This window comes from Homo sapiens, chromosome 15 (assembly GCF_000001405.40).
Source record: "Homo sapiens chromosome 15, GRCh38.p14 Primary Assembly".
Taxonomy (NCBI): domain Eukaryota; kingdom Metazoa; phylum Chordata; class Mammalia; order Primates; family Hominidae; genus Homo; species Homo sapiens.
In genome coordinates this window covers 73,525,979-73,539,928 of record NC_000015.10, presented here as the reverse complement: position 1 = coordinate 73,539,928, position 13,950 = coordinate 73,525,979, and the positions used below count along the sequence as shown (strand labels likewise).

Genomic DNA, 13,950 nt, shown 5'->3' with positions numbered 1-13,950 from the left:
GAGGGACAACAGTTGGATCCATAAAGTGAAAAGATAAACTTTCTCTGCCATTTACTAATAAAGTCAGTGGAATGAACTATCTGATGATTATGGCAGCTCTTAAGCGCCAGTTATGTTGTCACTGGTTTCCTCAGTTAAGCAACCCATTGAGTTAGAATATGTTTAGCATACAGTAAAACCAATCCAGGAGATTAACTGACAATATGCAAAAATTGCATGGAAACTGCCAGTCTACCCTTAAATGTTAGTCCACCACAGCCAGGGAAGGCTGCTGGAGTAATCTGAGAAATCCCCAACTCTTAAAAAAACAGAAGAAAATGTAGTCCCTTATCCATTTGAACCCTCACAAAATCCCTCTGCCTAAATCTCAGTATGGTGAAAGTTGCAACTTTCATAGAAATTTACAACCTGGGAAACAGTGAGGGTTAATTCTTTGATGCTTTCCTTAAAAAAAAAAAAAAAAAAAAAAAAGTAGCCGGGCGTGGTGGCAGGTGCCTGTAGTCCTAGCTACTCCAGAGGCTGACGCAGGAGAATGGCATGAACCCAGGAGGCGGAGGTTGCAGTGAGCCGAGATTGCGCCACTGCACTCCAGTCTGGGGGACAGAGTGAGATTCCGTCTCAAAAAAAAAAAAAAAAAAAAAAAAAATCAGTTCTGAAATGCTACCTCTAAGCATTTTATCAATAGGTTTTTTTTCCAAATGGAAAGAGAAGTTAGACAAACCATTTATGATTTCTTCTTAAAACCCTCTCAGAATTAGCAAAAAGAAATGTTGATTATTACATCCAAAAATACAGTTAATTGTAGTTTCAAGTGGCAATGTATGAGGAAACTGGCACTCACACACATTGCTGGTGGGAGTGCAAATTGGTACAATGCTTACGGAGGGCAATTTGGCAATATCAAAATTACAAATGTATTTACATTTGGACCCAGCAATCCCAATGCCGGGAATTCATTTTACAGATCAACCTGCCCATGTATGAAGTGATGCATGGAGAAGGGTAAGCATTTCTGCTTTTTTTTTTTTTTAAACATAAGATTGGAAACAACTCAGGTATGCATCAAAGGTGGATTGGTTAAGTAAATTGTGGTACTCTATACAATGGAATACTATACAGGTGTAAAAAGTAGTAAATGTTATGTATCAGCACTGTCCAGTAGAAATAGAATTTGAGCCAGGTGCGGTGGCTCACGCCTGTAATTCCAGCACTTTGGGAGGCCGAGGCAGGCGGATCACGAGGTCAGAGATCGAGACCATCTTGGCTAACACAGAGAAACCCTGTCTCTAGTAAAAATACAAAAAATTAGCTGGGTGCGGTGGCGGGTGCCTGTAGTCCCAGCTACTCAGGAGGCTGAGGTAGGAGAAAGGCGTGAACCCGGGAGGCAAAGCTTGCAGTGAGCCAAGATAGCGCCACTGCAGTCTGGCCTGGGCGAAAGAGCAAGCCTCTGTCTCAAAAAAAAAAAAAAAAAAAGAAATAGAATTTGAGCCACATATGTAATTTAAAGTTCTCTAGTATCACTTTTAAAAAAAGATAAATTGGCAGAATTGGTTTTAATATTTTATTTAGCCAACTATATCAAAAAACACTGAACAAATTGATGACTAGATTGTAAATGATGTAAAACATTAATGAGACAGTTTGCATTTTTTTTATACTGTCTTTGAAATCCAGTGTGTGTTTTACACTTATACCACATCTCAATTTGGATGTTGGATTTTCAATAGTTAAAGTGAAATGTAGTCCTACTAAAACAATAAAGTTGAGATTAATAGGAAAATATTGTTCACTGCTTTCATTTTTTAAATCTAAATTTAAATTAAATTAAATTTAAAATTCCATTTTTAGTTGCACCTGCCACATTTCAAGTGCTCCACAGCCACATATGACTCCTACTGATCTTGGACAGTGCAGCTCTATATAAACTGAACTCTAACACGTATTGTTAGGCAAAAAAGCAAGCTACATAACAATGTCCATCATATGCTACTTTTTTAATAAGAGAGAACATAACAATGTATATTCTTTACATAAAGAACTAGAGGACTAATACACAAGAGGCTAATAAAAATATTATCTGCAGGGAGTGAAGGCGAACAGTGCAGATGTGGCAGGGGTGGGAATAAAAGCTTTCTCTATGCCTTTTTACATTGCTCTGATTTTTGAGCTGTGTAAGCTTCTTATGCATGTATGAGAAAATTTGTGCAAACATTTGTGCTGGACAACATTATTGTTTAATGTTATGCTTAATGCTTATGCATAATGCTTAAATTTGTGGACAACACTGTGCTTATAGTTAACAATACTGTACTGATCACTTAAAATGAGGGTAAATTTCATGTCGCATGTTTTTTACCACAATTTTAAAAAGGCATGAAACAGCATAGCCTGTCTGGGAACCTGCAAGGAGACCACTGTCGCTGGAGTTGATTCAGGGGGGGATACCCACTACAATATGGCATGAACTCAAGGAAGAGGCAGAAGCAGGACCTGAGAAGGGGTGTGCCCTTCCTCCTCAACAGCAACTCTTAGTTGAGCTGCTTTATGGCTCTTCATCGATTTGTTCAAACCATTTTGCCATGGAGTTTCCTATATCTCTTCTGCCTCTTCCCCCTAATTTTTTTGCCTAATTAACCTCTGATCATTGTTCACTTCTTGCCTAGTCTCTCAACTAGGTGACTCTGTTGTACTTTCCCTCAACATTCCACTTTCTCTCATAGCATTTATCATTGTGTCTGTGTGTTTGTAGTGATTTCCTTAATGTCTATTTTTTCACTAGACTATAAGCCCCAAGAGGGAAGGGGCTAAGTTCGTTTTGCTCGCTAATGAATATATAGCACCTATTATAGTGCTTAACACTAGAAGGTGCTTCAATAAGTTTATTGAGTGAATAAATGAAACACTTTATTACAATTAATTAAAAGACTATCTATTGGGTACTATGCTCACTACCTGGGTGATGGGATCATTTGTATCCCAAACCTCAGCATCACACAATATATTCAGGTAACAAACCTGCACATGTACCCCTGAATCTAAAATGAAAATTGAAATTATTTTTAAAAATTAATTAGACTATTTCATGCCAGGACCAGTATCATTTCTTGGGAGCAGTGATGACCACAAATCTATTACCTATCCAATGATATAGAACATCTTACTTTTATTTGACTTATGCTAATGTTCAAAATTCAGAAAGAGTTCTTTCCTCCTAATGCTGAGATTTAGTAAAGAAGCCTGTGTGTCTAACCACTTGCCATACATAAATTTCAATAACTGATCTGCCTTGCTGTGAAAATCCACCTGTTTGAATCTCTTTTAAGGCTTATCCATCTAGAGAATTCAGTTTGGCTCAACTGATAGCTTCTCTGTAGCTTTTCCTGACTTTCTCACAATTAAGTGACCTGCTCTGTGTTCTCATAGCATGCTGTGCTTACTGCCATTAAACATGCGGTTAACATCACTGAGCTCCTACCACAGCTGGCCACTGTGCTAGGGGTTAAAATATAAGACACAGAATCTGTCCAAGAGGAGGGGGAAATGTGTCAAAATCACCAAGGGAGCTTCTGCTACTGGAGCTTTGGATACTGTTCCCCCACCAGGTCAAGAATCACTGCCAAAGGAAGTTACTGTTAATTGATGAGAGTCTGTCATAACCCAGGAAAGTGCTGAGGCAGAAAAATTGAGGTTCAGAATTGATAGTACTGGGTGGGACAGGAAAGAGTGGAGAACTCTTTAGTTTAATTAGATCCCATTTGTCAATTTTGTCTTTTGTTGCCATTGCTTTTGGTGTTTTAGACATGAAGTCCTTGCCCATGCCTATGTCCTGAATGGTAATGCCTAGGTTTTCTTCCAGGGTTTTTATGGTTTTAGGTCTAACGTTTAAGTCTTTAATCCATCTTGAATTGATTTTTGTATAAGGTGTAAGGAAGGGATCCAGTTTCAGCTTTCTACATATGGCTAGCCAGTTTTCCCAGCACCATTTATTAAATAGGGAATCCTTTCCCCATTGCTTGTTTTTCTCAGGTTTGTCAAAGATCAGATAGTTGTAGATATGCGGTGTTATCTCTGAGGGCTCTGTTCTGTTCCATTGATCTATATCTCTGTTTTGGTACCAGTCCCATGCTGTTTTGGTTACTGTAGCCTTGTAGTATAGTTTGAAGTCAGGTAGTGTGATGCCTCCAGCTTTGTTCTTTTGGCTTAGGATTGACTTGGCGATGCAGGCTCTTTTTTGGTTCCATATGAACTTTAAAGTAGTTTTTTCCAATTCTGTGAAGAAAGTCATTGGTAGCTTGATGGGGATGGCATTGAATCTGTAAATTACCTTGGGCAGTATGGCCATTTTCACGATATTGATTCTTCCTACCCATGAGCATGGAATGTTCTTCCATTTGTTTGTATCCTCTTTTATTTCCTTGAGCAGTGGTTTGTACTTCTCCTTGAAGAGGTCCTTCACATCCCTTGTAAGTTGGATTCCTAGGTATTTTATTCTCTTTGAAGCAATTGTGAATGGAGTTCACTCATGATTTGGCTGTTTGTCTGTTGCTGGTGTATAAGAATGCATGTGATTTTTGCACACTGATTTTGTATCCTGAGACTTTGCTGAAGTTGCTTATCAGCTTAAAGAGATTTTGGGCTGAGACAATGGGGTTTTCTAGATATACAATCACGTCGTCTGCAAACAGGGACAATTTGGCTTCCTCTTTTCCTAATTGAATACCCTTTATTTCCTTCTCCTGACTAATTGCCCTGGCCAGAACTTCCAACACTATGTTGAATAGGAGTGGTGAGAGAGGGCATCCCTGTCTTGTGCCAGTTTTCAAAGGGAATGCTTCCAGTTTTTGCCCATTCAGTATGATATTGGCTGTGGGTTTGTCATAGATAGCTCTTATCATTTTGAAATACGTCCCATCAATACCTAATTTATTGAGAGTTTTTAGCATGAAGGGTTGGTGAATTTTGTCAAAGGCTTTTTCTGCATCTATTGAGATAATCATGTGGTTTTTGTCTTTGGCTCTGTTTATGTGCTGGATTACATTTATTGATTTGCGTATATTGAACCAGCCTTGCATCCCAGGGATGAAGCCCACTTGATCATGGTGGATAAGCTTTTTGATGTGCTGCTGGATTCGTTTTGCCAGTATTTTATTGAGGATTTCTGCATCAATGTTCATCAAAGATATTGGTCTAAAATTCTCTTTTTTGTTGTGTCTCTGCCTGGCTTTGGTATCAGAATGATGCTGGCTTCATAAAATGAGTTAGGGAGGATTCCCTCTTTTTGTATTGATTGGAATAGTTTCAGAAGGAATGGTACCAGTTCCTCCTTGTACCTCTGGTAGAATTCGGCTGTGAATCCATCTGGTCCTGGACTCTTTTTGGTTGGTAAGCTATTGATTATTGCCACAATTTCAGCTCCTGTTACTGGTCTATTCAGAGATTCAACTTCTTCCTGGTTTAGTCTTGGGAGAGTGTATGTGTCGAGGAATTTATCCATTTCTTGTAGATTTTCTAGTTTATTTGCGTAGAGGTGATTGTAGTATTCCCTGATGGTAGTTTGTATTTCTGTGGGATCAGTGGTGATATCCCCTTTATCATTTTTTATTGTGTCTATTTGATTCTTCTCTCTTTTTTTATTAGTCTTGCTAGCGGTCTATCAATTTTGTTGATCCTTTCAAAAAACCAGCTCCTGGATTAATTTTTTGAAGGGTTTTTTGTATCTCTATTTCCTTCAGTTCTGCTCTGATTTTAGTTATTTCTTGCCTTCTGCTAGCTTTTGAATGTGTTTGCTCTTGCTTCTCTAGTTCTTTTAATTGTGATGTTAGGGTGTCAATTTTGGATCTTTCCTGCTTTCTCTTGTGGGCATTTAGTGCTATAAATTTCCCTCTACACACTGCTTTGAATGCGTCCCAGAGATTCTGGTATGTTGTGTCTTTGTTCTCGTTGGTTTCAAAGAACATCTTTATTTCTGCCTTCATTTCGTTATGTACCCAGTAGTCATTCAGGAGCAGGTTGTTCAGTTTCCATGTAGTTGAGCGGTTTTGAGTGAGATTCTTAATCCTGAGTTCTAGTTTGATTGCACTGTGGTCTGAGAGATAGTTTGTTATAATTTCTGTTCTTTTACATTTGCTGAGGAGAGCTTTACTTCCCAGTATGTGGTCAATTTTGTAATAGGTGTGGTGTGGTGCTGAAAAAAATGTATATTCTGTTGATTTGGGGTGGAGAGTTCTGTAGATGTCTATTAGGTCCGCTTGGTGCAGAGCTGAGTTCAATTCCTGGGTATCCTTGTTGACTTTCTGTCTCATTGATCTGTCTAATGTTGACATTGGGGTGTTAAAGTCTCCCATTATTAATGTGTGGGAGTCTAAGTCTCTTTGTAGGTCACTCAGGACTTGCTTTATCAATCTGGGTGCTCCTGTATTGGGTGCATATATATTTAGGATAGTTAGCTCTTCTTGTTGAATTGATCTCTTTACCATTATGTAATGGCCTTCTTTGTCTCTTTTGATCTTTGTTGGTTTAAAGTCTGTTTTATCAGAGACTAGGATTGCAACCCCTGCCTTTTTTTGTTTTCCATTTGCTTGGTAGATCTTCCTCCATCCTTTTATTTTGAGCCTGTGTGTGTCTCTGCACGTGAGATGGGTTTCCTGAATACAGCACACTGATGGGTCTTGACTCTTTATCCAATTTGCCAGTCTGTGTCTTTTAATTGGAGCATTTAGTCCATTTACATTTAAAGTTAATATTGTTATGTGTGAATTTGATCCTGTCATTATGATGTTAGCTGGTTATTTTGCTCGTTAGTTGATGCAGTTTCTTCCTAGTCTCAATGGTCTTTACATTTTGGCATGATTTTGCAGCAGCTGGTACCGGTTGTTCCTTTCCATGTTTAGTGCTTCCTTCAGGAGCTCTTGTAAGGCAGGCCTGGTGGTGACAAAATCTCTCAGCATTTGCTTGTCTGTAAAGTATTTAATTTCTCCTTCACTTATGAAGCTTAGTTTGGCTGGATATGAAATTCTGGGTTGAAAATTCTTTTCTTTAAGAATGTTGAATATTGGCCCCCACTCTCTTCTGGCTTGTAGGGTTTCTGCCGAGAGATCCGCTGTTAGTCTGATGGGCTTCCCTTTGAGGGTAACCCGACCTTTCTCTCTGGCTGCCCTTAACATTTTTTCCTTTATTTCAACTTTGGTGAATCTGACAATTATGTGCCTTGGAGTTGCTCTTCTCGAGGAGTATCTTTGTGGCATTCTCTGTATTTCCTGAATCTGAACGTTGGCCTGCCTTGCTAGTGCTGGAGAGGATGTGGAGAAATAGGAACACTTTTACACTGTTGGTGGGACTGTAAACTAGTTCAACCATTGTGGAAGTCAGTGTGGCGATTCCTCAGGGATCTAGAACTGGAAATACCATTTGACCCAGCCATCCCATTACTGGGTATATACCCAAAGGACTATAAATCATGCTGCTATAAAGACACATGCACACGTATGTTTACTGTGGCACTATTCACAATAGCAAAGACTTGGAACCAACCCAAATGTCCAACAATGATAGATTGGATTAAGAAAATGTGGCACATATACACCATGGAATACTATGCAGCCATAAAAAATGATGAGTTCATGTCCTTTGTAGGGACATGGATGAAATTGGAAATCATCATTCTCAGTAAACTATCGCAAGAACAAAAAACCAAACACCGCATATTCTCACTCATAGGTGGGAACTGAACAATAAGATCACATGGACACAGGAAGGGGAATATCACACTCTGGGGACTGTTGTGGGGTGGGGCGAGGGGGGAGGGATAGCATCGGGAGATATACCTAATGCTAGATGACGAGTTAGTGGGTGCAGCTCACCAGCATGGCACATGTATACATATGTAACTAACCTGCACAATGTGCACATGTACCCTAAAACTTAAAGTATTAAAAAAAAAAAAAAAAGAGTGGAGAACTCTAGGAAATGCTAATTTACCATCAGACAAAAGAACAAGAGCCAATACCAAGAATTAATGTCCAGGACAGAGTAATGTGGAAGCTAAGAGGGGTGAGAGTTTCCAGCAGAGAAACTTGTCAATGGTGTCAGGTGATGCACAGGGATGGAGTAGAAATAAGGGCTGTCAAATCTGCATGGAGTCTAGCAGCAGGAGGTGCTGTGCCCTGCAATGGCTGGCTGTTGCTTCTACCCTGTCTTCTTTTTGTAGCCCCTACACCTCACTGCAAACTTCATGAGATCAAGAACTGGGGTACATTCATCTTTGTGCCCAGCATGTCTGTTGAATGAAAGAGGGCCAATTTCTGGCACATGGTTGACACCCCCATTTCCTCCTAACACACTTTGACCCATCCCTTAATTTGCCCAGTTCTGGCACAGCCTGAGGGGCAGTGGCCAGAATGCCACCAAGATGGGGCGCCACACTACACTTCATATAAAGAGAATCTCAAGCTTTGCTTTTCATGCATTATAAATTATGAAGTGCGTTTCTAAATTGTGGTCATCCATGCACTCCGTGGCCCCTGCTATCATACATAATGAAGACTTGCCATAGAGATAAAAAGGAAGCCATCAACGAAAGGGAGAAAAGTACCTAAGAAAATGGATGCACAGATAAGATGTACACAATCTGAAGTCCAAAGATGGTGGGAAAAACTACCTGTGCCCTTAACCCTACTGAGTCTGTTTCCCTTGCTGTTGACTCTGCCATTGAGCTAGTTCCATTAGTACCTCAGACACCCCTCAGTTCTGACTTCACCTACCAGTTTGGGCAAGGAAGCCAGGAGAATATCATGGGGTGTCACTGGCATTTAGCTAGGTAAATTAGCTTTAAAATCTTCCCATTATGATTTTGTAAATGCTTTGAAGAAAACAGCATTTTATTTTTATGAAAATGACAATTCTAAATGTTCACACCTGCTGTTAAAACCCTGATTCAGAGGAAAACAGCATAGGAGAATCAGGTTACAAAAGTAACTGGATGACTGATCATTTCACAGTGCACCTCGTCCCCAGGCCCAGAACACCAAAAGCGCTTCTTGATGAATGTGAGAAGGTGTTTTGGTGCCAGGTGATTTATTTAAAAATTAGACCCTGGCTTAAGCTTCAGGGTTGTGTTTCTGACTCACTATCCTGGAGCTCAGTTTGTGAGGATCAAATTTCACTGAAAACAGAAAAAAAAAAATCCATGATAAGAGAATTGCTACAAATATGAAGACAACGATGTGAAGAGGGAAAACAAAGCAAAAGATTGGGATTTCTAAAATTACATTTTCTTTTTTCTGGAGACAGAGTTTTGCTCTGTTGCCAAGGATGGAGTGCAGTGGTACGATGATAACTCACTGCAGCCTTGATCTCCTGGGCTCAAGCAGTCCTCCCACCTCAGCCTCCTGAATAGCTGGGACCATAGGCATGCACCACCATGCCCAGCTAATTTTAAATTTTTTTGTAGAGATGGGGTCTCGCTATGTTGTACGGGCTGGTCGCAAGCAATCTTCCAGCCTGGGCCTCCCAAAGTGATGGGATTATAGGCATAAGCCACCACACCCAGGCAAAAATTAAATTTTCAATAATCATAACCAGTTGTTAGGTTAAGCTAATAATTAAGGTATTAAGCTAACAAAAGGGAATAATAAGATAGATAGAAATAATTTGTAGCTGGTTTGATTAGATTTTGGTCTTAGATTTGAATATGGATATTTCTGCAATATTCAGAAACATACAATATTGTGCTTGGAGAAGCAATACCTGCCTTACTTCAAAGTACCTATTCCACACTTAATATCATATCTCAGACTGAGATAGCTCAAACTAAGATGCCCATTCTATAACTTACTTTATTTTGGAGTTATATTTTTCCTGATTTATAAAAGCTATATAACCAGTTTGGTTTCATGCTGAACTATAGGCTATTTGGAAGGAGTAAAGTAAATAAAAATAAATAATGTCAACAAAAAAGGACGACTGTGTTTTACAATTTTTATCATCTAGAAATCATGATATGCCATGAAAAGTTATTATATTTGTTCCAGAAGTATGTACCAGATTACGTGCTATGTCCTATAACTGACACTACAGATCAAAGTCAAATGGTCCCTGCCCTCAAGGAGCTGGGAGTCTAGGGGAAGTTAAACAAATAACCACCCAACAATAATCAATGTGGTAAGTTCCATGATTCTACAGAAGCACAGAAAAGAGGCATTCAATTACTAGGTCCAGAGGAAATGGCCTTTGAACTGATTTTTTAAACTTATTTTGAAATAACTGATTTATTTTAAACTCTAAGTTTTCAAACATTCAAAGCTAGAGAAAATAGTAAAACAGTGTGATGAGCCATCACACTACGCACCCATCTTCCAGTCACAATTTTCATAACATGGCCAATCTTATTTTACTTACATCCACACTCAACAACTCCCATCTCCCTGGATTATTCTGAAGCAAATCCAAGTATCTGTATATATTTCAGAATCTATCTCTAAAAAGCCAAGGACCAGCCAGGCGCAGTGGCTCACACCTGTAATCCCAGCACTTTGGGAGGCCGAGGCAGGTGGACCACGAGGTCAGGAGATCAAGACCATCCTGGCTTTCATGGTGAAACCCCGTCTTTACTAAAAAATACAAAAAATTAGTTGGGCATGGTGGCGGGCGCCTGTAGTCCCAGCTACTCAGGAGGCTGAGGCAGGAGGATGGCGTGAACCTGGCAGGCAGAGCTTGCAGTGAGCTGAGAACACGCCACTGCACTCTAGCCTGGGCGACAGAGCGAGACTCTGTCTCCAAAAAAAAAAATAAAATAAATAAATAAATAATAAAAATAAAAAGCTAAGGACCTCTTAAAATATAATCACAAAATCATTATCACACCTTTAAAAATTAACAATTCCGTAATATCATCAAGTATCTTTGTTGCTGTTCACATTTTCCTGATGATCTTGGTTTTTTAAACATGGTGTTTTGAATAGGGATCCAAATAAGGTCCACATATTGTGATACTTGTCATGTCTCTTAAGTCTTACTGATTTTTCCTTTCATCCTTTTTCTTGGAATTTTTTTGTTAAAGAAACCAGGCCATTAGTCCTCTAGATTAGGGATTGACAATTTTTTTTGTTGTTAAGGGCCAGTGAGTAAATATTTTGGCATTTTGATTGTACAGACTCCTGCACCTACTCAACTCTGCCCTTGTAGCACGAAAGCAGCCACAAACAATACATAAACAAATAAGCATGGCTGTGTTCCAACAAAACCTTTTTATGAACGCTGCAATTTTCATAATTCACAAAATATTCTGAATTTTTTCAACCATTTAATAATGTAAAAACTATTCTTGGCTCAAAAGCCATACAAAAACAGGCAATGGGCCAGATGTGTCCCACGCATTGTGTGCTAACCCCTGCCCTAAAGTCCCCTCACTAAATTTTGTTTTTGTATCTCCATGGTGTGTTTTAATATGTAACTCTGTCTTATAATTCTCAAAAAGCGGTAGATCAAGAAGCTTGCAGATTCAGGTTGGATTTTTTTTTCTCAGATTTTATAAGATTACTTCCTAAGTGACAGGTATTCGATTCCATAGTAGGTACATAATGGTTTTTTATTCTTTTTGTGATATTAGCAGCCATTGATAATCACTGCCTACACTCATTAATTCATCTGGGGTTGCAAAATGGTAATTTTTAAATTTTTTCATTCATTCTTTATGAGACAGAATACATCTCGAAAGAGGAATTTTGCCTCATCAACTATTTTGTTATACTAGGTAAAAATAGGAAAGGTGGGATAAATGCTCACCCTCATTTCTTGTATTTGTCAGCTTTCAAAATAATGAGGTGGTTCTCTAGTATCCTCCAAAGATTACAATGAGGGTTTTTTTTTAAAAAAGTGTCATTTGAAACTTACAAATTTAAATATATTTGCTGTTTCGATCCTTTGCAGTTACTGATCTTTACATTGCCTCTCTTTAGCTATGAGGACCTTTTCAAGTTGGCCCTGTCCTTTTGATATAGCCTTAGCAATCTCAAGGTATCAGAAGCTGAAATGCCTTTTTTTCCCCCCCGTATAGATAACGACATCACACAGGTCTTCAAGCTGTCAGTGATGTAGCTCCATCCACTCATATTTGGAAGGTCACAGGAATGCCTAGTCATCTAGTTTTAGTTGTAGATGTTATCCATGGGTCTTTGGTTTTGCAGCCCTGTTTGAACTGTCTATTTTTATGGGGAGATAGGAGAAAATACAAAAGCTGTGATGTCATTTCTGACCAACAGGGAATAAGAGGGTCAAAATTTATACTCCTATTATAAACAACTAGAAAACTGGACAAAACTATTGGAAGCAACTATTTTCAGACAGTAGAAAATAGACAGTACAGGACTGTGATATCTGATAAAAGGGAGACAAAGTGAGCCCTACCATCACCCAGGCTTTCTTCCTAAAATTAATTTCCAGACTTTGGCACAGAGAATGGAAATCCAAACAGAGCCTGCAATCCCAGTGAGTTGAGAAGAAAGAGATGGGAGGTCAGGTAGGCCAAGATGCTGCAGTTTTCAGGGCAGGGCACTTAAGAGAGGAAGACAACACAGAGGAAGAGCTTTAGAAACCTGCATATGCGTTCCTTGAATCTCTGGCTGAATAGCTATCTGTACATATGCAGAACGAAATACCATAAGACTGAGCAAGAACAACTTCTGGAAAAATAAGAATCACCAGGAATTGTAAGTCAAACAGTCCTAGAATTCCACAGGTCTGGGAATGTTTAAGTTACAACTAGCTAGAGTAGAGAGACTTCATTGAATACACAGGACATTCAGTAGAAAACATACATGAGGGCCAGATGTGGTAGCTTACACCTATGGTCCCAGTACTTTGGAAGCCCAAGATGGGAGGATTGCTTGAGGCCAAGGGTTCATGACTAGCCTGGGCAACATAATGAGACCCTATCTCTATTTAAAAAAAAAATACATCAGGAGTATTGCTAAATCAGCCTTAGAGTAAAAGCTACTCTAGATCTACCTTAAAAGAGATTAAAAATAAGCTTCAAAAGGGTCAAACTGATTATTAGTAACTTAACTACTTGCTTGAAAGAAATTCTGTACTCTTTAAAGGAATACAACAAAAGTGAGCATGCAGCAATGTAAAAGTCACAATATCTGACATCTGATCAAAAAGTACTAGATATATGAAAAACCAGCAACAATGACTAGTAGCCTTGAGAAAAATGAGTCAACAGAAACAAACTCAGAAATTTAAGAGATGATAAAATTAGCAGAAAAGGGTATTGAAGAAGCTATTTCATGAATATGCTCTATATGACAACAGCAGCACATTTGTCCAGGGGACAAATGGAAGTACACTATTGTTAAGTTTCATACATTACACAGGAAGCAGCATATATTTGAAGACAGACTGTGATAAGTTAGAGATGTATATTGTAAACCCTACAACAGCCATGGTGGGTGGTGATAAAGGAGGAGTAGCTAATAAACCAATTGTGAAAATGAAATGGAATCCTAAAAAAACACTGAATTAACCCAAAAGTAACGAAAAGAGGGAAAAAGAAACAAACAAAAATAGATGTGATAAACAGAAAATAACAAGATGGCAGATTTAAACTTACACAGAAAATCACATTAAATGCAAAGGGTCTAAACCCTGAAAAGAGGTTGTCAGAATAGATTTTAAAAGCAAGATCAGACGATATTCTATCTAGAAAAAATTCATTTTGAATGTAAAGAAACAGATAAAAAGAGATAAAAAGATATAGCATTTAAACTCTAATAATAAGAAAACTGGAATGGCTATGTCAATCTCAGACAAACATGTGTCAGGTCAAGGATCATTACCAGAGATAAAAAGGAACATCTCATTATGATAAAGGGTTAAATTAATCAAGAAAACGTAACAATCCTGAATGTGCTTGTACCCAATAACAGCTATTCAAAATACATGAAGCAAAAACTG

The 13,950-nt window shown here is 38.6% G+C and overlaps 1 protein-coding gene across 2 annotated transcripts in view; it reads right to left on the bottom strand.

Moving 5' to 3' along the window:
- Nucleotides 1–13,950, bottom strand: part of REC114 (REC114 meiotic recombination protein) — a 116,850-nt gene that overhangs the window by 20,085 nt on the left and 82,815 nt on the right. The window lies entirely within an intron of this gene.